This window comes from Homo sapiens, chromosome 1 (assembly GCF_000001405.40).
Source record: "Homo sapiens chromosome 1, GRCh38.p14 Primary Assembly".
Classification (NCBI taxonomy): Eukaryota; Metazoa; Chordata; class Mammalia; order Primates; family Hominidae; genus Homo; species Homo sapiens.
This window is the reverse complement of record NC_000001.11, coordinates 160138996-160158356: the sequence shown is the minus strand read 5'-3', so window position 1 is coordinate 160158356 and position 19361 is coordinate 160138996. Positions and strand designations below refer to the sequence as shown.

Below are 19361 nucleotides of genomic sequence, written 5' to 3'. Positions count from 1 at the left end.
CATTCCTGTTTCTGAGAATCCTCTGCCACCCTATGAACAAGCCCAAGCTAACCTCTCTGTAAAAAGAGAGATCACGAAGAAAAAGGCCCCAGCTGTCCCAGTCATCTCAGCTAAGGGCCCAGACATGTGGATGAGGTCATCTAAGACCATCCAGCCCCAGCTGAGGAACAACAGCACAGCCACAGAATTATGAGAAACAGGAGCTTGCTATTTTAAGCCACTAAGTTTTAGGGTAGTTTGTTAGGTAGCAAAAGCTAACCGACCATGCCTAAACTCCTAGTCTCCAAAACTGCCCAAACACTTTGTCCCAAAACTCTTACCCAAGGAAGGAATTAAGTGATACCAAAAAGAGAAGGAAATCCTGGGCTATACTACTGGAACATGATCATATTATAGGGAAAATGTGGAGCCTATTCCTTTGCAAGTTTCCAGTCCCGTGCCTAGGAACCTCTGTTTACCGTCGTATTCTTTCCAGGTACCTTTAAAAAACATTTAACTTGAAAATAATTTTAAACTTTCAGAGAAGTTGCAAGAATAAAAATAGCACCAAGAACACCTATATAACCTTTATCCAGATTCACCTATTAACATTTCACCCCAGTTACTTTGTCATTTGTTTTCATCCTCTCTCTCTCTGTGTATACTCTTTTCCTGAACTACTTGAGGGTAAGTTACCTACATCATGATCTTTTATCTTAAAAACTTCATTGTGCATTTCCCAAGAATTAAGATATTGTCTTAAACAACCACAATGTAGTTATCAATTTCAGTAAGTTTCACATTGATACTTTAATCTACTGTATTAATCTGTCAGTATTCCAGTTTTGCCAATTGACCCAATACATCCTTTAACGCATTATCTTTGGTGGAGCTGGAGGACATTGTCCTAAGCAAACTAACAGGAACAGAAAGTCAAATACCTTATGTTCTCACTTATAACTGGAAGCTAAACACTGAGTACATATGGACACAAAGAAGGGGAAAAACAGACACCAAGGCCTACTTGAGGGTGGAGGGTGGGAGGAGCGTGAGGACAGAAAACCTACCTATCAGGTACTATGCTTATTACCTGGGTGATGAAATAATTCGTACACCAAATCCCTGTGACACACAGTTTACTTATATAACAAACCTGCACATGTATCCCCGAATCTAAAATAAAAGCTCAAAATAAAAAAGTAAAAATAAAGCATTACTTTCTCCTCTGGCACAGAATCAGATCTAGGGTTAGATATTGCATTTAGTTGCCACGTCCCTGTCTTTTTTTTGAGACAGCGTCTCTGTCTGTCACCAGGCTGGAGTGCAATGGCATGCAATCTCTGCCTTCCGTGCTCAAGCAATCCTCCTACCTCAGCCTCCTGAGTAGCTGGCACTACAGGCACGCTCAGCTAATTTTTAAATTTTTTTGTAGAGATAAGGTCTCACTATACTACTCAGGCTCGTCTTGAACTCCTGGACTCAAGTAGTGCTCTTGCCTCGGTCCCCCAAACGGTTGGGATTACAGGTGGGAGCCACCACCCTCGGAATAGTTGTCATGCCTCTTTAGCCTCTTTTTATTATTATTATTATTTTTTGAGACAGGGTCTTGCCCAGGTTGGTCACAGTTCACTGCAGACTTAAATTCCTGGGTTCAAGTAATCCTCCCGTCTCAGCTGCCTGTGTAGCTTGGACTACAGATGTAGACCAGCTATTTTATTTTATTTTATTTTTGTAGAGATAGCATCTCAAACTCCTGGGTGATCCTGTTGCCTCAGCCTCCCAGAGTGCTGGGATTACAGGCGTGAGCCACTATGCCTGGTCTGTTTAATCTGGAACATCCCCACAGCTGTTCTTTGTCTTTGAGGTCATCGATATTTGAAGAATCCAGCCACCCCCCACCGCACCCCGCTCCCACCCCCACCAACACTTGTCTCTTTAAAAAAATAGAATGTTCTTATTTGGGGTTTGTATGGTGTTTCCTCTTTAGATTCAGATTCTGCCTTCTAGATCAGAGCACTTCATAGGTGACGTTATGTCTTTCTCAGGGTTTCACAGCTTTTCCAGGTACTTTTAAGGACTGATACAGTACCTTGACCCCCTCATCACCAACCTCACTCAGCTCACTTATCATAGGATATAATTTTCCACGGGACTTCATCATTGTGTATTTGGCCACATCCTGCTCCTGCTCCCACTAGATCCTCCCACTCCAATCCTACCTGAGGCACCATGTTCTTAAAAGACTCCATGATCTTGGAGCTCTTGGCCTCCTGATAATAGGAGAAGCAGCCAGTGACGATGACCACGACGGACAGTACGATGCTCAGGTAGAGCTGAGGGTGGGGAAAGAAAGCGTTTATCAGTGGGACCTTGTCGTCTTCTTCATCCTCAGAAAATCAGTCTGCAAGGGGCACAGCAGTTTCACCAGGTGTAAGAGACCGTAAGACTGAGTTGAGAGCAGAGGGGTAGAGAAGAATCTGAGGTGGGACCAGTACACTTGGCTTCCTGGGGAAGGAACCCTGAGCCATGGTGAGCCGTCAGCAAAATTCCTGGTCAGAGAAGGCCTGTATCTTTCTCTCCAGGAAGGCTAATCTCTGGATGGAGGGGGTGGATTGTGAGGGAGGCTGGGAGGAAGGAGATGAGGTTAAAATTGTGGAGAAGAGAAAGGGACTGCAAAGTGCTTTGGGGATCAATTGGGAAGGTCATCAAAGAACAGCAAGTTTTTCGGGGACATTGTGCACCTCAGGGAACTGGACCAGAAGCTTTTTAGATTAAAAGGTGAGAGGAACCAAGATGGAACTTAGAAAGTGGAGTATTAGGGATTTTGGTTTATTACATTAATGTACATTTATTACATTATTATGTAATGTACATTTATTACATTAATGTACATTTAATTACATTTTATAATTAATTACATTCATTACAATGTAATTAATCAATTACATTGTAATTAATTACAATCAATTACATTTATAATTAATGTACATTTATTACATTATTACATTAATGTAATAATGTAATTAGGGATTTGGGCCAGAGGACTTCAGGAGTGCTAGGCTGCTGAGCAAAAGAGTGTCTGGGGCTAAGCAGAGATAGGGCTGGCTAGTAGTAGCTGAAGAGACTCACGTTGTCTTTGGTAGGCTCCTCATTGAAATATATCTGGATGCTGTAGGCCACAAAGCAGAGAATGGCCCCAGTCCATAGTAGGAGGGAGAAGCCTCCGAACAGTTGCTTACAGAATTTGACCCATTCTGGAGTGGTGGGGGGTGGGGTAACAGTATTGGGTCCACCTCGAGTCAGGATTTCCTTTGCCCTTTGGTGGCTATGGCCCTGTGCAGAGAAGAAATAGGGTTGGATAGAGAGCTGTGAAAAGAGGAACAGCCATAGCAAAAGGGAACCTGACATTTGGAGCCCCAGAATGGGTCTAGAGACTAAAGACGCTTTCAGAAGGTCAGTCTGGAAGTTCTTCCTGGATAAGGTGAGGTTTCAAAATTTGCATTAGAGGAGGGATGTCATTTAGCATGCTTACATAGGAAGGTTTTTGTTTATGGATTGATTCACAAACCTTTTTGAACTTGAGAACCTATCTCGGGTCCTAGGTGCTGAGGATACCAACATGAATAAGAATGGTCCCTACCCTTAAGGTGCTCCAGTGGGGAGATAAATACATACAGATAATTATAATGTGCAGGGCCAATGTCATGATGAAATATAATACTTAATGTTGATAACATATTAACACCACGCTTTGACTCTCCAACTTAGAGGGAATAAGATCTAGTGTTTGGTAGCACAATAGGGCAACTATAGTTAATAATTTATTATGGATATCAAAATAATTAGAGGAGTGGATTTGGAATGTTCCCATGCAAAGAAATGATAAATGTTTGAGGTTATGGGTATCCTAAATACCCTGATTTGATCATTACACATTGTATGCTTATATCAGAATAATACATGTATACCATAAATATGTACATCTACATATCCATTTTTTTTTTTGAGACAGAGTCTTGCTCTGTCACCTAGGCTGGAGTGCAGTGGCATGATCTCGGCTTACTGCAACCTCCATCTCCCAGGTTCAAGTGATTCTCCTGCATTCAAGTGATTCTCCTGCCTCAGCCTCCCAAGTAGCTGAGATTGCAGATGTGTGCCACTATGCCAGGATAATTTTTGTATTTTTAATACAGATGGGGTTTCACCATGTTGGCCAGGCTGGTCTCCAACTACTGACCTCAAGTGATCTGCCTGCCTTGGATTACAGGTGTGAGCCACGGCACCTGGCCCATAAATTTTTAAAAAACATAAATAGAAAAGAATACTAACAAAAAACATGAATGCATAGATTCTCATTCCACTCTTGTGCACAAGCTTATGTGCTTTTTCCTGTTAATGAAAATGATAGTAGAACCTGCCAATCACCACCAGCCACTCCCCAACCTCTGCCTGAAACACCCGAGGGGCCCCAAAACCCTTTCAGGGGGTCCACAAGGTCAATTTTCATAGTAATACTAAATCATTGTTTGCCTTTTTTTACTCTCATTTTCTTAAGAGTATATAGTGGAATTTTCTGAAGGCCAACTGGCATAACATCACAACAGATTTTATCCAGAAAATATTTGAGAATCCAGCTATCTTCTATTAAAAAGCAAGACATTGAAGAGGTTTGCAAAAATGTAAGATGCTGCTAATTTTTTTGTTTTGAAAAATACAGTTATTTGTCAAAACATATATGAATATATGATAACTTTATTTTTGTTATTTTTAAATGAATTGAGAAATACATTTTAAAACTCTCAATTTTAATTTCTAATATGGTAAATATAGACAGACTTAAGCCACATAAGCACAAGTTCTTTGCGGTCCTAGATAAATTCTAAGAGTGTAAAGGAGACCTAAGGACAAGACGTTTGACCAGCACTGCCCTAAAGCATTCTTATTCTCTTATCTAGTCCCACACTCTCTTTGAGGGTAGTTACCATTTGCAGCTTTTTCCAGGTAGTGTCCATGGAACGTGGCCAGGCAGAGGGTGAGGGGTGGGAACGTTGGACTTGAAGTTAGGGGGCTGGATTCCTAGTTCAGCTTTTGTCCTGGCAGCCTCACAGTCAGAGTTGGAGACTCTCTGCCTCCTCAGGGAGCTTCTTACTCACCTTTGTCAGGTCCACGGAGTACTTGGTGCTCAGCTCTTCCAAGGTTAATTTGTGATCATCCTGAGGGGACAGTAGAGGCATTGAGGGACAGGGGGTGGCCCAGGTCATTTCCAGGGAGAGGGGGAGAAACAGACTGGAGAATGTTAGTCCAAACTGAGACTGCTCCATTTTGTAAGCTCCCTGCAATTCTTTTTTTGAGATGGAGTCACTCTGTTGCCCAGGCTGGTGTACAGTGGTGCGATTTCGACTCACTGCAACCTCTGCCTCCCAACAGGTGTTTCTCCTGCCTCAGCCTCCCAAGCAGCTGGGATTACAGGGGCCCATCACCAGGACCAGCTAATTTTTGTATTTTTAGAGGCGGGGTTTCACCATGTTGGCCAGGCTTGTCTCAAACTCCTGACCTCAGGTGATCTGCCTGCCTCAGCCTCCCAAAGTGCTGGGATTACAGGTGTGAGCCACCACGCCCGGCCTAGCTCCCCACTATTTTACAGGCCTTGGTCAAAGTGAAACATTTCACGGGGGTTCGGGCCAGAGAAACAGCCTGCCTAACCACCTGACCACAGGGCAGACGAAGGCCCAATTAAAGACAAAGACCCCACTAAAGAAACATCCCTATCACATCCTGCTGGGCAAAGGTCCAGGGAATACCATGATTATATTCTGTGGAAACAAGGGCCAAAAATCACCTCATCATGAGAACATCTTATCGATATCCTGCCAGGCAGCAGGCCATACAGCCCAGACTCCTCCCATCCATCCCTATAAGTACCCAGCCTGTAAGTGGCAGTGGACTGTGGAATTAAGCTGATCCCCCACTTCCACAGGTGTCTGCAATATACCTGTGCTTGCTGTTGAGCTGCCCTGTCTCTCTGTGTGTATCTTTTTTTTTTTTTTTAACCCTCTCCTTCCCTCCAAAGCCTAACAGAGAAGAGATGTGGCTCTGGCCTGTGTGTTTCATTCTCAAGGTAAGATGTTAAAGATAGGTGGAGGAGTGTTTTCAGAGGGCAGCTGTCAGCGCCCACTTTGGGTGGCCTCACCATGACCACTTCCTTCTTCAGTTCCTCCATATTGCGCTTCTGTTTTTCCCTCTTCACCATTTTTTTCTTGATAAGCCCTTTTTTAGGTCTTCGTCTTGGACTCTGGTCATGGGGAGCCACTGTCCCTTTCTTCCCCCAAAGCCCCATAGCTATCCCCAGAAAGAGCTGCCCGAGCTCAACTGTGGGAAGAAAGCTGAGAGAGTGAGGCAAGGGGAAGGGAAGAGGGCGCGCGGGCAAGGGGGCCACGAGAAGAGAGTGGTGGGGAGAGAATGAGGGAGCAGAAAGAAAGAGGCAGGGAGGGAGGTGTTGGGTGGTGAAGGTGAGAGAGAGGAAGGGAAGTGAGAGAGGAGAGACTGAGCGGTCCTCCAGCCGTCCGCTGGGAAGAGGAAGAGTCAGGAGTGAGGGAAGAGGGAGGAGAGAAGCCTAGGGTGGAAGGATAAAAAGGTAGAGGTGAGGGAATGCAGTGAGGGCAGGAAACAAGAGGTGAAGCGTAACCAGGTGCCTCAGTGATGAAGATGCCGCAAGGCCCACAGGAAGGTGGGAAATGCAGTGAGAGTGAGGAGGCGGAGTGAGCTTCAAGGATCTGGGAACCCCCCAGTCCCAGGCCCTGTGGTTGCTGGGGCAATGACCCAGGTCTGGCATCACAAAGGCCTCCTGAAAGTTCTAACCAAGAATCCAGAAGTCTTGCCTTGGCGATGGTCCAGGTCTGCTGTCGCAAAGGCCTCATGAAGGTTTTAACCAAGAACCTAGAAGTCTCAGTCTTTGGGTTTGAGGACGATTGGAGCAGGCCCTGCTACAGAAAGAGTTTCAGTCTGAGGGCAGAACTAGAACAAAGTTCTTGTGTGGTCCTGCAGACTTTGGAGGCTTAGAGGTATGCCAAATAGATGACTCAAAAATAAAGCGGGTATTCGGCCGGGCGCGGTGGCTCATGCCTGTAATCCCAGCACTTTGGGAGGCTGAGATCGAGACCTTCGTGGCCAGTATGGTGAAACCCCATCTCTACTAAAAATACAAAATTTAGCCAGGTGTGGTGGTGGGCACCTGTAATCCCAGCTGCTCGGGAGGCTGAGGCAGGAGAAACATCTGAATCCAGAAGGCAGAGGTTGCAGTGAATTGAGATTGCATCACTGCACTCCAGCCTCGGTGACAGAGTGACTCCATCTCAGACAAACAAACAAACAAACAAACAAACAAACAAACAAACAAAAAACCATAGCAGGGAGCTTACAAAATGGTGCAGTTGCAGTTTGGACTAATATTCTCCCGTCTGTTTTTGAGACTCCATCTCAAAAAAAAAAAAAAAGCAGGTACTCTGTGTGTGTTTTTTAGCAAGGCACACTTTTCCACTAACATTGGGTTTGATCTTTTAATTTTAGGAGATCAGCTAGCAGAATAGATCAGATCTTGGGCTCTGGAACCAGTCCTGGATTTCAATCCCAACTCCTCCACTTGTCAGCTGTGTGGCTTTGAGCAAGTTACCTAACCTCTGTACCTCTCTTTTCTTATTTTTAAAAGAGGATACCTTCTACCTTAAGTGAGGTGCTCTACAAAAAGCACTATGTGACATATATAGTATGTGCTCAATAGGTAGCTTGAATTCAGTAGTAGTTTTATTTGTGGATTAATATGCAGCTCTTCTCAGTGAGGGTAAAAATATGCTTTTCCATGTGATAGCGTTGCATTTTCTCATTTTAAAATGATGTACTTACCTCTTCCATTGACCTTCTCTGGTGTCTCAGTAAGTGCTTTGACTATATTAACTGTATATATGTTTTGCATGTCCATAGGATTCTACCTCCTTCCAAGAATAATCTGAAGCATCTATACTTTTCTGTCAACCATTATATATATTTTTCAATTATGCACGTCACATAGATTTTCCCATTCTGTTGTTTGATATTTGTTTATTTACTTTTTGAGACAGGATCTCACTTTGTTGCCCAGGCTGGAGTGTAATGGTGCGATTATGGCTTACTCCAGCCTCAACCTCCCAGGTCCAAGTGATCCTCCCACCTCAGCCTCCCAAGTAGCTGGGACCACAGGCATGTGCCACCATGCCCGGCTAATTTTTTTTATTTTATTTTAGTAAAGACGGGGTGCCCCTGTGTTGCCCAGGCTGGTCTCAAACTCCTGGGCTCAAGCAATCCTTGGCCTTGGCCTCCTAAAATGTTGGGATTACATAAGTGAGACACCAAGCCTGGCCTGATATTTATTTAATTGCATTTTGGTTGGGCATGCTTTTTAAAAATATGACTGTATCTGGAAACATTCATCTTGGTGCTGATGCAATCCTCCTTGAATATTCAGAAATAGAAATGCTCCCTTCCCAGCTGGGATAAATGATCGTCTATTTCTTTAACAGATTGGATTTTTCTTCTCTATTAAAAATGTTTAAGATAAAAATTGAAAGCCCCACCTTCCCTCCCTCCAAACTCAGATTCTCCCCACTGCTGAAGTTACTGCTGGTAACAATGTGCTGCATGTCCTTCCAGTCTTTTTTCTATGTTTATACAAATAGATATCTAAAAGGAGGTATTTTTCAACTTTTAAACAATCATTCAACTCTCTACCAACCTGTCATGTACATAAAGCTTCTTTTTTTCAGTGCTGTGAGGCTTCCATATTCTGTATTGACCATGCTCTATTCAATCATTCCCATTACTGATGGATTTATGAGATATTTTCCATTTTTTTAACCATTAATAAAATTGCTAGAGTGTCATTCTTGCACATAGATATCATCAGGCCCTTGAGCTTCTATTTCTGTAGAATCAGTTCCTGTTGCTGAATCATAGAGTACACTCATTAACAATCTTAAAAGATTCTGCCAATTGGTCTTTAAAAGTGTTTATCTATCTGCATCCCAACAACAGGATGCAAGAATGTCTGCCTTCCACACCTTTGATTATGCTAGATGACCTTGATTTTTACTATTATAATCAGTGAACTTTGATATCTTGTAGTTTTAATTTGCATTTTTAAATTGTCAATGTGAGCATTTTCTCTTATGTTTACTGGCTTTCTGGTTTTCTTTCTTTCTTTCATTTCTTCTTTTCTTTCTTTCTCTCTTTCCTTTCTTCCTTCCTTTCTTTCTCTCTTTCTTTCTTTTGACAGGCTGGAGTGCAGCGGTGCAATCTCAGCTCACTGCAACCTCCACCACCTGTGTTCAAGCGATTCTCGTGCCTCAGCCTTCTAAGTAGCTGAGACTACAGGCACACGCCACCATACCCAGCTGATTTTTTTGTATTTTTTAGTAGAGATGGGGTTTTGCCATGTTGGCCAGGCTGATCTTGAACTCCTGACCTTGGGTGATCCGCCTGCCTGGGCATCCCAAAGTGCTGGGATTACAGGCATGAGCCACCATGCCTGGTCTTGGACTTTATTTATTTATTTTGTAAATTGTCATTCTTACAATTTGCCCAATTTTCCATTGTTTTCTTTTTTATATTGATTTGTAGGAAACCCTTGTCATATATAACACAAATGTTTTCTCCCAGTCTTTGTGTTTAATGTAGATGAACATAAAATTCTTAAGAAGAAGGTTAGAATTAAAGTTAAAATTCATATGTTTTTCTATGCATCATCTATGTGACAATAACACTTAGCTCAGTCTTGCAGATGGGCATTGCCCAAAAGCAACTTTATGGAGATACAATCAATTGAAATTATTTTTAGAAACCTCATTTTGTTCTAGAGATCTTAGCTCAAAAGTCCACCTCTTCGGAGAGGCCTTCTCTCATAGTTAAATCCAAAACAGCCCCTCCGGCGCCAGCCCTCTCTCTATCACTTTTGATCTTCACAACACTTCTCTCCCTCTGAAATTATCCTGCCTGTTAACTGTTGACTTGTCTGATTGACTTGTCTTGTTGACTTGTCTGGTTCTCCATGACCCTAGGGACCTTCCCTGTTTTTTTCCACAGCTATATACCTGGCTCCTAGGATAGTGCTTGGCACAGGGCAGCTGGTCCACAAATAGTCCCTGAATAGATGTTGAATGACTAATGAGTTTTCAGGTTTTATCTTAATGCTACAAGGTTTTGATAATTGCCACTTTGGTCTGATTTTTTTTTTTTTTTTGAGACGAAGTCTCACTCTGTTGCCCAAACTGGAGTGCAGTGGTGCAATCTCAGCTCACTGCAACCTCCACCTACCGGGTTCAAGCGATTCTCCTGCCTCAGCCTCCTGAGTAGCTGGGACTACAGACATGCGCCACCATGTCTGGCTAATTTTTGTATTTTTAGTAAAGACAGGGTTTCACTATGTTGGCCAGGCTGGTCTTGAACTCCCGACCTCTTGATCTGCCGACCTTGGCCTCCCAAAGTGCTGGGATTACAGGCGTGAGCCACCGCGCCCGGCCAGTGGTCTGATGTGTTTTAAAATCTGTTGGGGTAAATATGTTAGCATCAGTGATCTATTCATTTGCTTCATAATTACTTAGAAAAAACCTCTGAGATTCTTGCCTGATTACTCTTGCAGCTGAATGTCACAACCAATATGTCATGTTTTATAAAAATGCAGCGAGGATTTTAATTGATATTGAATTGACTCTTTCATAGTAACTTATTTTTATCTTTACTACGTTCTGCCTTCCCAAATGGCAGTCAAGTTTAGCTTTCCATGAATTCATGTTTTTTTATTTTTCTCATTGTACTTTTAAATTTTCTTTAATAGTTACTATGTGCTGCACACAGTAAACCTTGAGCGTAATTTGTTTTCATTCTATTGTAAATAGAAGCTCTTTATGCTGTATTTTCTGTCTCCCTAATATTTAGGGATACATTTGCTTCTTTGAAAACTGATACCCATATACCCTGTAACTTTGAATTTATTGCTTCTAGGATTTTTTTTGTTATTGATGCTGTTGCTTTGTTTTGGCTGAATTTCTTGGATTTTTAGGGAGTTATGCTCGCTAAAAACAAAGTTTTATTTATTTAGAATTTTTATTTATTTATTTTTATTTTTTGAAACAGAGTCTTGCTCTGTTACCCAGGCTGGAGTGCAGTGGTCCAACCATGGCTCATTGCAGCTTCAACCTCTCAGACTCAAGCGATCCTCCTCCCTCAGCCTCCCAAGTGACTGGGACCATAGGTGTGGGCCACCACCCCAGGCTAATTTTTTTTTTTTTTTTTTTAATAGAGATGAGGTCTCACTGTGTTGCCCAGGCTGGTCTCAAATTCCTGGGCTCAAGCAATCCTCCTGCGTCAGCTTCCCAAAGTGCTGGGGTTGTAGACGTGAACCATAGCACCTGGCTTATTTAGAACTTTTTTTTTTGGAGATGGAGTCTCTGTTGCCCAGGCTGGGGTGCTGTGGCACCATCTCGGTTCATTGCAACCTCTGCCTCCTGGATTCAAGTGATTCTCAAACCTCAGCATCTCAAGTAGCTGGGATTACAGGCACCCGCCACCATGCCTGGCTAATTTTTTTTTTGTATTTTTAGTAGAGACGGGGTTTCACCATGTTGGCCAGGCTGGTCTCAAACTCCTGACCTCAAGAGATCCGCCCACCTCAGCTTCCCAAAGTGCTGGGATTACAGACGTGAGCCACCGCGCTCGGCCTTTGTAGAACTTTTAAACACAAACTGCTTATCGAGGATTTCAAATGTTTTATTGCAATTATTTGTTATAGTTGCTGTTATTGGTTTTCTAGACTTACTACATCCTTTCCTCTCTTCTCTGAACATGATTACATTTTCTTTTTTTTTGAGACCGAGTTTCACTCTTGTACCCCAGACTGGAGGTGCAATGGCGGGATCTCAGCTCATTGCAACCTATGCCTTCCGGGTTCAAGTGATTCTCCTTCCTCAGCCACCCGAGTAGTTGGGATTACAGGCGCGCGTGCCACCACGCGCAAATTTTTGCATTTTTAGTAGAGACAAGGTTTCACTACGTTGGCCAGGCTGGTCTCAAACTCCTGACCTCAGGTGACCCACCTACCTCGGCCTCCCAAAGTGCTAGGATTACAGGCGTGAGCCACCGCGACTGGCCCATGATTATATTTTCTGATACACTTTTTCCTCCAACATTTTTATCAGTAATAGATACTGAATTTTACTGATAGCCTCCTCAACCTTTTTTGAAATGATTATTTCATCCTTTGTCTAGTTAATGTTAGTTGTTTGTAACATTTTCCTTGTAATATGCTATCCTTGCATTCCACCATTTGGGGTAGTCAATTTATTATCTATATTAAATATAAAATTTTAACAAAATAGTACTTATCTCATAAAATAGGCTGGGCAACACAAAACACAAAATAATTTTTTATATTCCAGCACATTTTAAATAATATAAGGAAATTCTTTGAGGAATTTGCAAAAAATCCTTCATTGAATTCACTGGAGCCAAGGATATTTTTGAAAGACTCACTTTGTATTAAATGTCTTCCTTTGATATTGATCTAACCACTTTCTTCCTATTTTTTGCTGCGTTCTTAGCATTATGAATATTTAGTGACTATCTCTGATTATCTCTGATGCATGATCACATTTCCTATTCTGTAGATAAAAAGAAAATGCCATGGAAAGACTTTCTGCCTGGGTCAAAAGTTGGCCTTAGCTTCTCAGATTACATTCAATAGTAAGATTCTTCTTTTTGCTAAAATCCTCTAGCAGACCATCAAATCTCTTTGGATCTTTTTCTTTCTTTCTTTTCTTTTCTTTCTTTCTTTTTTTTTTTTTTTTCTGAGATGAAGTCTTGCTCTGTCACCCAGGCTGGAGTATAGTGGCACAATCTCGGCTCACTGCAGCCTCTGCCTCCTGGGTTCAAGCCATTCTTCTACTTCAGCCTCCTGAGTAGCTGGGATTACAGGTGTATACCCGGCTAATTTTTGTATTTTTAGTGGAAGACAGGGTTTCACCATGTTGGCCAGGATGGTCTCGAACTCCTGACCTCAAGTGATCTGCCCACCTTGGCTTCTCAAAGTGCTGGGATTACAGGCGTTAGCCACTGTGCCTGGCCTGGATCTTTTTCTTAACCCCCTACCGCATCTTTGAGATCATATCTTCTCCCTTTCTCACGGATCTGCCTTGCCCCTGCTGCTCAAATGTTAATTGTCCACAAATTCCTGGCTCCCTTGGCAGCCTCCCCAGTTCACTGAGCCATTGGGCTAGTCAGGCTCTGTCCATGCACATAGGCTTTCTGTTCTTGCAGTTGCAGAGCATGGCATGGTTAAGAGGGCAGGCCCTGGAGTCAGACTGGCCTAGGTTTGAATCCTGCTTCAGATGCTTACTACCTTTGAAACTTTGAATAATAATTTAACTTTCTGAGCACCAGTTTTCTCATCTGTAAATTGGAGATAATAATAGTCTCCATCTTACTGAATTACTGTGAGGATCCTTTCAGTCATCCAACACATATTTATTAATTGTCTAACGTGTGTCAGATGTTTTAGGTGCTAAGGATAAAGGTGTTGAACAAAAGAAATAGAGTCTCTGTCTTCATGGAACTTATACTGGAGGAGTCAGACAAACAAAAGCATAAACAGCAACAAAATACATGTATATCTTTCTAAATATTACATCTAGCTGTCTTTCTATCTAAATTTAAGGTAATAAGTATTTATGAACAAAAACGAAGAGAACAGAGAAAGAGGTTCCAGGAAGTCATTTTATTTGAGGTCCTCTGTGAGGATCTTACTGATGTTTAAGGAGTGATCTGAATGAAGTGACAAAGCCAGGCATGTGAATAACTAGGGAAAAGTGTTCCTGGCAGAGGGACCATCAAGAATAAAGGCCCTGTGGTGGGATGAACGGAGACTATACAAATAAAATTTTGGCATAGTTATGGCACAAAATGAGCTGTGATTAAGGCTCTTATAATCACTACTAACTATAACTGTCATTAATGACACTGTTAAGAGTCATAATAAAGGGGCTGCAATATGGCTTGGGCAAGAATTGACTTCTGACCGTTATTCTGAAATCCTGGCATAGGTTGTAAGAGTTGGTGTCTTTCTCTCTCCCATTCCCAGGGCCCCCCTGGAGCAATGCACACCCACCCACCCACCCCTCCATCTCCAGCACACAAGCGTCCCCCCTACTGCTCATTACATTCTGTCCATGATGGTTTCTGATGTCTACTACTCAGGTGAATTTCAAGGATTGCATCCACTTTACCCCCACCCCTTAAAGAGAGCACCCAGGACAAAGCTCTGCATGAAGTACAGATTGTGAATTGGTGTTGACTCTTGGGCTCCTCAACCCACTATCTCCTTCCCCCATCCCATCAGATAGAGAATGGCCTGATTTTGGTCTGGAACAGAAAAAGCAGAAGTGCCCCTGAGGATCTTGTTCTTAATAGACTCACAGGCCCCTCCCTGTCCTGGACAAACTCTTGTGGCTCTTAGGGTGGGATCAGCATGAGGAAGGAGGCTCCTGCTATAGTTTCTTGTAGGTTATTTTGCAACCTAACTTCTTCCCCTCTTGCTTTCTCCACGGACATCATCTGCTCCCAGACCATTTCCCTCCCATCCCTGACACTTGCTATCTCTTTGTTGCTTTCCCTACAAGCCGAGTTCTGCCACAGCACATATTTCAATATCACGATTTAGGAGGGAGGCAAGTATAAAGTGTAGAAATCTGAATTATGGAAGAGATTTCTTTTTTTTTCATAAAGAAATGCCACTTTATTATTTTCAAGTACATAGGTAGTACCTCAAACTAATGTCTTACAAAAGGTCACCAATAAAGATCCTGTAGATGTTTCTTTAACAAATACATAAAGATTGATGATAATTAGCCCATGCACTCGCTGCTTCTAAAAGGATATTTCTAAAGTGCCTGAAAAGTATTGTTTTTGGTAGACTAAACATGCCACCTCTAGCAATATTGTTTATGCTCTTAATTTACTAAAAAAATGCCATTTTTATTGATTGTGCAAAGATAAACTTTTGTCCACAGTTAGTAATCTCCAATTAATCGGATCCAAATTAATATTGTCTCCCACTTAGATTCCCAGGCCCAAGGCAATGACTCCCTTACTTCCTTGCTTCTGATAAAGCAAAATTCCAGTGCAATGAAATGACAGCCTTTGGGAGGTGGTTTATGGGTCTGACCCAATGCTTGTCTTTTGTGCTTCCTTCCTGTCTGCCTTAGGTCTTCCATTTTCCTCAGATGTCTTTCTCACTTGCATGACCTATCTAGGTCTCTCTCTACAGGACATTCCCAGTGCCTTCTAAGCCAGGCTTAGAGAATGGGCAAGGCTGCCTGCAGAGCAAAAGTGTTAGATAGGGAGTAAGGGAAAGAAAGCTATCTCCTGTAGGAACCTGAAACCAACTCTCCAGCCCAGGGTAAGTGGGCACAATGATCGTCGGTTTGAAGGGCATTTGCCTGGAGGGAACAGCCCTGCCACCTAAGACGTCAAAAGCAAATCATTTTTTTTTTTTTTGAGATGGAGTCTCACCCTTTCGCCCAGGCTGGAGTGTAATGGCACGATCTCAGCTCACTGCAACCTCTTCCTCACAGGTTCAAGCAATTCTCCTGCCTCAGCCTCCTGAGTAGCTGAGATTACAGGCGTGTGCCACCATGACTGGCTAATTTTTTGTACTTTTAGTAGAGACAGGGTTTCACCATGTTGGCCAGGCTCGCCTCGAACTCCTGACCTCATGATCCACCTGCCTCGGCCTCCCAAAGTGCTGGGATTACAGGCATGAGCCACCGCACCCAGAAAAAGCAAATCTCTTAGTATTTTTCCTCTTGTCCAAAGGTTCTGACCATGTTCATGACCTAAGCTTGTCCCTGGAAGCATACATGTCCCTGGGAGACAGGAAGGTTCAGGGAACTTCTCCACCCTGATTCTAGCCAATGGCCAGCGAACTCCTTTTCCAGGGTTGGCTTGGCAGTGTCGGGGAATGATGCAGGTTCATCGGGATGGGCATGAAAAGAAAGGGAATGGAAGAGGCTGGGAAAGAACTTGTGGCCATCCCTTTCAGAACAGCATGGAGCTCTGAGGACTTAGTATTACAGAAGGTGAAGTGTTATTAAGTACATGAGTGACATCCGGACCTTGTGGACTAAGAGGACCCCTAACCAAGGGTCAGCGGGGAACTCTGTGGCACACAAGTGTGGCATTTCTGGAAGCTCTTGATTGCCTTCTGGTCCTGCCTCTGCTGCTACCCTGATGAGATCTGAGTTTGTTCTGCTGGTGGGGTATTCTAAAATGTGGGACGTAGAGCTGGAGTCCACGACATCTATCTGGAGACTCATGTCAAATGTCCTGTCATTGGCACTACCTCACTTCCTTTGTTGTTTCCTTCCTCCAGCCAGCCCTACCTCCATCTCCCACCTGTCTGCCCAGCTCTCCCTGAAGGTCCCTTACCAGCCTCGACTGGGAGACAAGTCCACCTTTTCCAGTCTCAGGCTCTTGCACTCACCAGAAGAACCTTTTGTGATTGCAAGGTCTGAAGGGGAAGCCAGGGATAGAGTCCTGCAGGAAGCTAACGGGGGTGGAAGTGGGAAATGGAGTGAGGCTGGGGTGATCTGAGAGGGCTTCCTTCTGGTTTAGATGGGTTCCTGCTTTTGGATGCTGATCTATTACAGTAGGAAGTGGGGTTGAAGGGATGGGAGTGGGCAGGGTGGGGTAACCCTTAATTCCTCAGAAAAAATAGACAACATAGTGGAGTGGGATGGAAAAGGATCTGGTCGGGGGGACTCTAACACATAGTGTCTAATCTGATTGTTCACAGTTAGGTCTATGGGGTCATCACCCCAATTTATATACCCCGCAACTTAGCCTGCTGAGTTGCCTCATTATCTCTCCCCAAATGTTGCCACCCAATGCCACCCGTTATTTCCATCCCTCTCCATCACCATCCCCACAACACCTCCAGAGCTCCCCATCTTTCCATGCCTGGTTCTTCTTCCAATGGGGTCAGTAGTATGTCTCCTTCTCCACCCAGCCTGTTAGAGAGATTGGGAGTGGAGATTGCAGCATGAGCTTAAAAGGAGGCAAGAGATCAATTTCCTAGGGGCTTGGGTCGCTGAAGCCAGGTGGAAGGAGAAGCCTGGTGAAGGGCACTGGGGGAAGTGGCTTAGGAAGGTGGAAGGAGGCTGGGTGCAGTGGCTCATGCCTGTAATCCCAGCATACTGGGAGGCTGAGGCAGGCGGAGATCAAGACTCCTGGCTAACCCAGTGAAACCCTGTCTGTACTAAAAATACAAAAAATTAGTCGGGCATAGTGGCATGCGCCTGCAATCCCAGCTACTCTGGAGGCTGAGGCAAGAGAATTGCTTGAACCCAGGAGGCGGAGCTTGCAGTGAGCCGAGATCGTGCCACTGCACTGCACTCCTGGTTGGGCGACAGAGCGAGACTCCGTCTCAAAAAAAAAAAAAAAAAAAAAAAAAAAAAGAAGGTGAAAGGGAGGAGAAGGAGGTCCAGTGAGCTGGGGCCATAGGTTAAAGGAAGGGAGGGTGAACCTGCCTTTAGGGGAGACTTGTATTTAGCACATTGGAGGCTGGGGCAGAATAGGTCGAGGGTGAAAATGCAAACGCCCACAGGGCCTCTTCAGGTGACGAACGAGAGTCTAAGGGAGCAGCTGTCCATTCTTGCTGTGCAGAGATGTGGACATGGGATTAACAGCTCTTCTGATCTTCAGGAGAAGTCGAATTCAGATTTTATGTGAAAGACCCTAAATTTTCTATATCGGACCAATTAATCCACCCTCCTCCCCCCACACACACAAAATATGGCACAGGTCAAACCAAACAGTATTCCTGGACAGTATTTGGTTTGTAAGCCATCATATTTTAACCTCTACTAAGTGATTAAAAAACGCTTGTAGGAAAAACAATAACTTGTCGGTTGATGAGTGGGGATCAGGAGGCCTGGGTTCTAGTACCAGTCCTGCTATTCTTTGCTTTACGACCCTGAACAGATTCACCTCTGAGCCTCCTCTATCTGTAAAATATGGACGTGGGACTAGGTGACCTGGAAAGGCCCTTCTAATTCTGATGTTCTGTGGTTTCAGGTGGAAGGTGGAGGGCCTCGGAGACCAACTGTGAGTTAGGCGGGGTTTAGAATCTGATGGGAAGAGGGCAGAGACAACAGGTTCGAAAGAGTCAGGGCTCCTGGGACCTGGGACCCCAGGATCTGAGGGTGTTGAGGAACAGAAGCAGGAACCAGTAGTGGGAGTGGAGTCTGCGTGTGGTCCTGGAGGGAGGAGCTGGTGGTGGGGCTTGCACTTTGCTGGGGGGAATGTGGAGGGGCTTACCACCAGGATACCGCCGCAGGATGAGCTTTCGGACCTCATCATAGATGAAGATGAGGAGGCTGTAGGGGAAGGCGCAGAACCACCAGGTGACTCTGAAAGCAATGGAGGAGAGTGTCAGCAGCATCAGAGGTTGGCTTGGTGGCTGTCACATAAAGGAGCATTCAAAGCGATCAGAACTTGGATCCTGGAGGGGGCTGAAGGCCCCCCGTATGACTACTCAGGCCGCCCGAAAGAGACACTCACTTGAGCGGGTACATGCGGAGGGCTACACCCATGCCTGGGCAGTAAGAGAGAAAGGCAGCCAACGCCGTCTCCTCCAGGAGCCCAAAAATCAGGATCTTGTTCCTGAAAGGCAAAGAAAGGAGGTGGCAGGTGAAGGGGGATCATGGAGGCAGAGATCCTGGGATACCCCTGGGGTGCAAGGGAAAGAGGAGAGAGAATTCTAAACGACATAGTCGCATGTCTTCTTCCAACAGCCTCTTCTCATGCTTTATGTAACCAAAGGAAGATGTTATTTGTTTTTCTGCTTACTGAGTTTACGTCCGAATGTTGTCTATTGCACGTATATTCATTCATTAAATAATTGTTTCTAGGTGTTGGGTGACGTGTTCTGTACTGGAGACACGGTGGTCAACATGGGGCCTGTCTCATGATCTTGTTATTGCTCCAGGCACAGGGCCCATGAAAGTGTGTCTCCCCAGCAAGATGCTTGAAAGCTCCTTCAGTGCAGGGCCCATGTATGTCTTCTACCGTCTCAGCATCTCCCACAGTTCCTGGTGGTGGTTTCATTATAGATATTTAATTCAGAGAATGTAAAGGGGATCACTGCATAATAAGTGGTTAATATATGTTCACTTTATCAGAATTGAAAAGCAGGATAGAATAAGGAGGTTCTCAGGGCAGTTTCTGCAGTCAGACAGGTGGTGTCTATTCCCAGTTCTGCCATTGACTAGCTTTGGGTTGCAGGCAATGTTGAATTTCTCTGAGCC

The 19361-nt window shown here is 44.1% G+C and overlaps 2 protein-coding genes across 4 annotated transcripts in view; both read right to left on the bottom strand.

Moving 5' to 3' along the window:
* The window catches only part of ATP1A4 (ATPase Na+/K+ transporting subunit alpha 4), a 35378-nt gene extending 28624 nt beyond the window's left edge, over positions 1–6754 (bottom strand). The window contains exons 1-4 of one of the 2 annotated variants that reach the window (NM_144699.4): positions 6170–6754; positions 5133–5192; positions 3109–3312; positions 2199–2312 (exon numbers count right to left, since the gene is read on the bottom strand). In NM_144699.4, the coding sequence (NP_653300.2) occupies positions 2199–2312; positions 3109–3312; positions 5133–5192; positions 6170–6316 (525 nt within the window). In that variant the 5' untranslated portion in view covers positions 6317–6754. The other variant, XM_011509582.2, reaches the window with a different exon arrangement.
* Positions 14766–19361, bottom strand: part of ATP1A2 (ATPase Na+/K+ transporting subunit alpha 2) — a 27833-nt gene continuing 23237 nt past the window's right edge. For both annotated transcript variants that reach the window (NM_000702.4, XM_047421286.1), the window contains 3 exons: positions 18616–18717; positions 18373–18464; positions 14766–17063 (listed from right to left, as the gene is read on the bottom strand). In NM_000702.4, coding sequence (NP_000693.1) covers positions 17035–17063; positions 18373–18464; positions 18616–18717 — 223 coding nt within the window. In that variant the 3' untranslated portion in view covers positions 14766–17034. The remainder of the gene's footprint in view (positions 17064–18372; positions 18465–18615; positions 18718–19361) is intronic.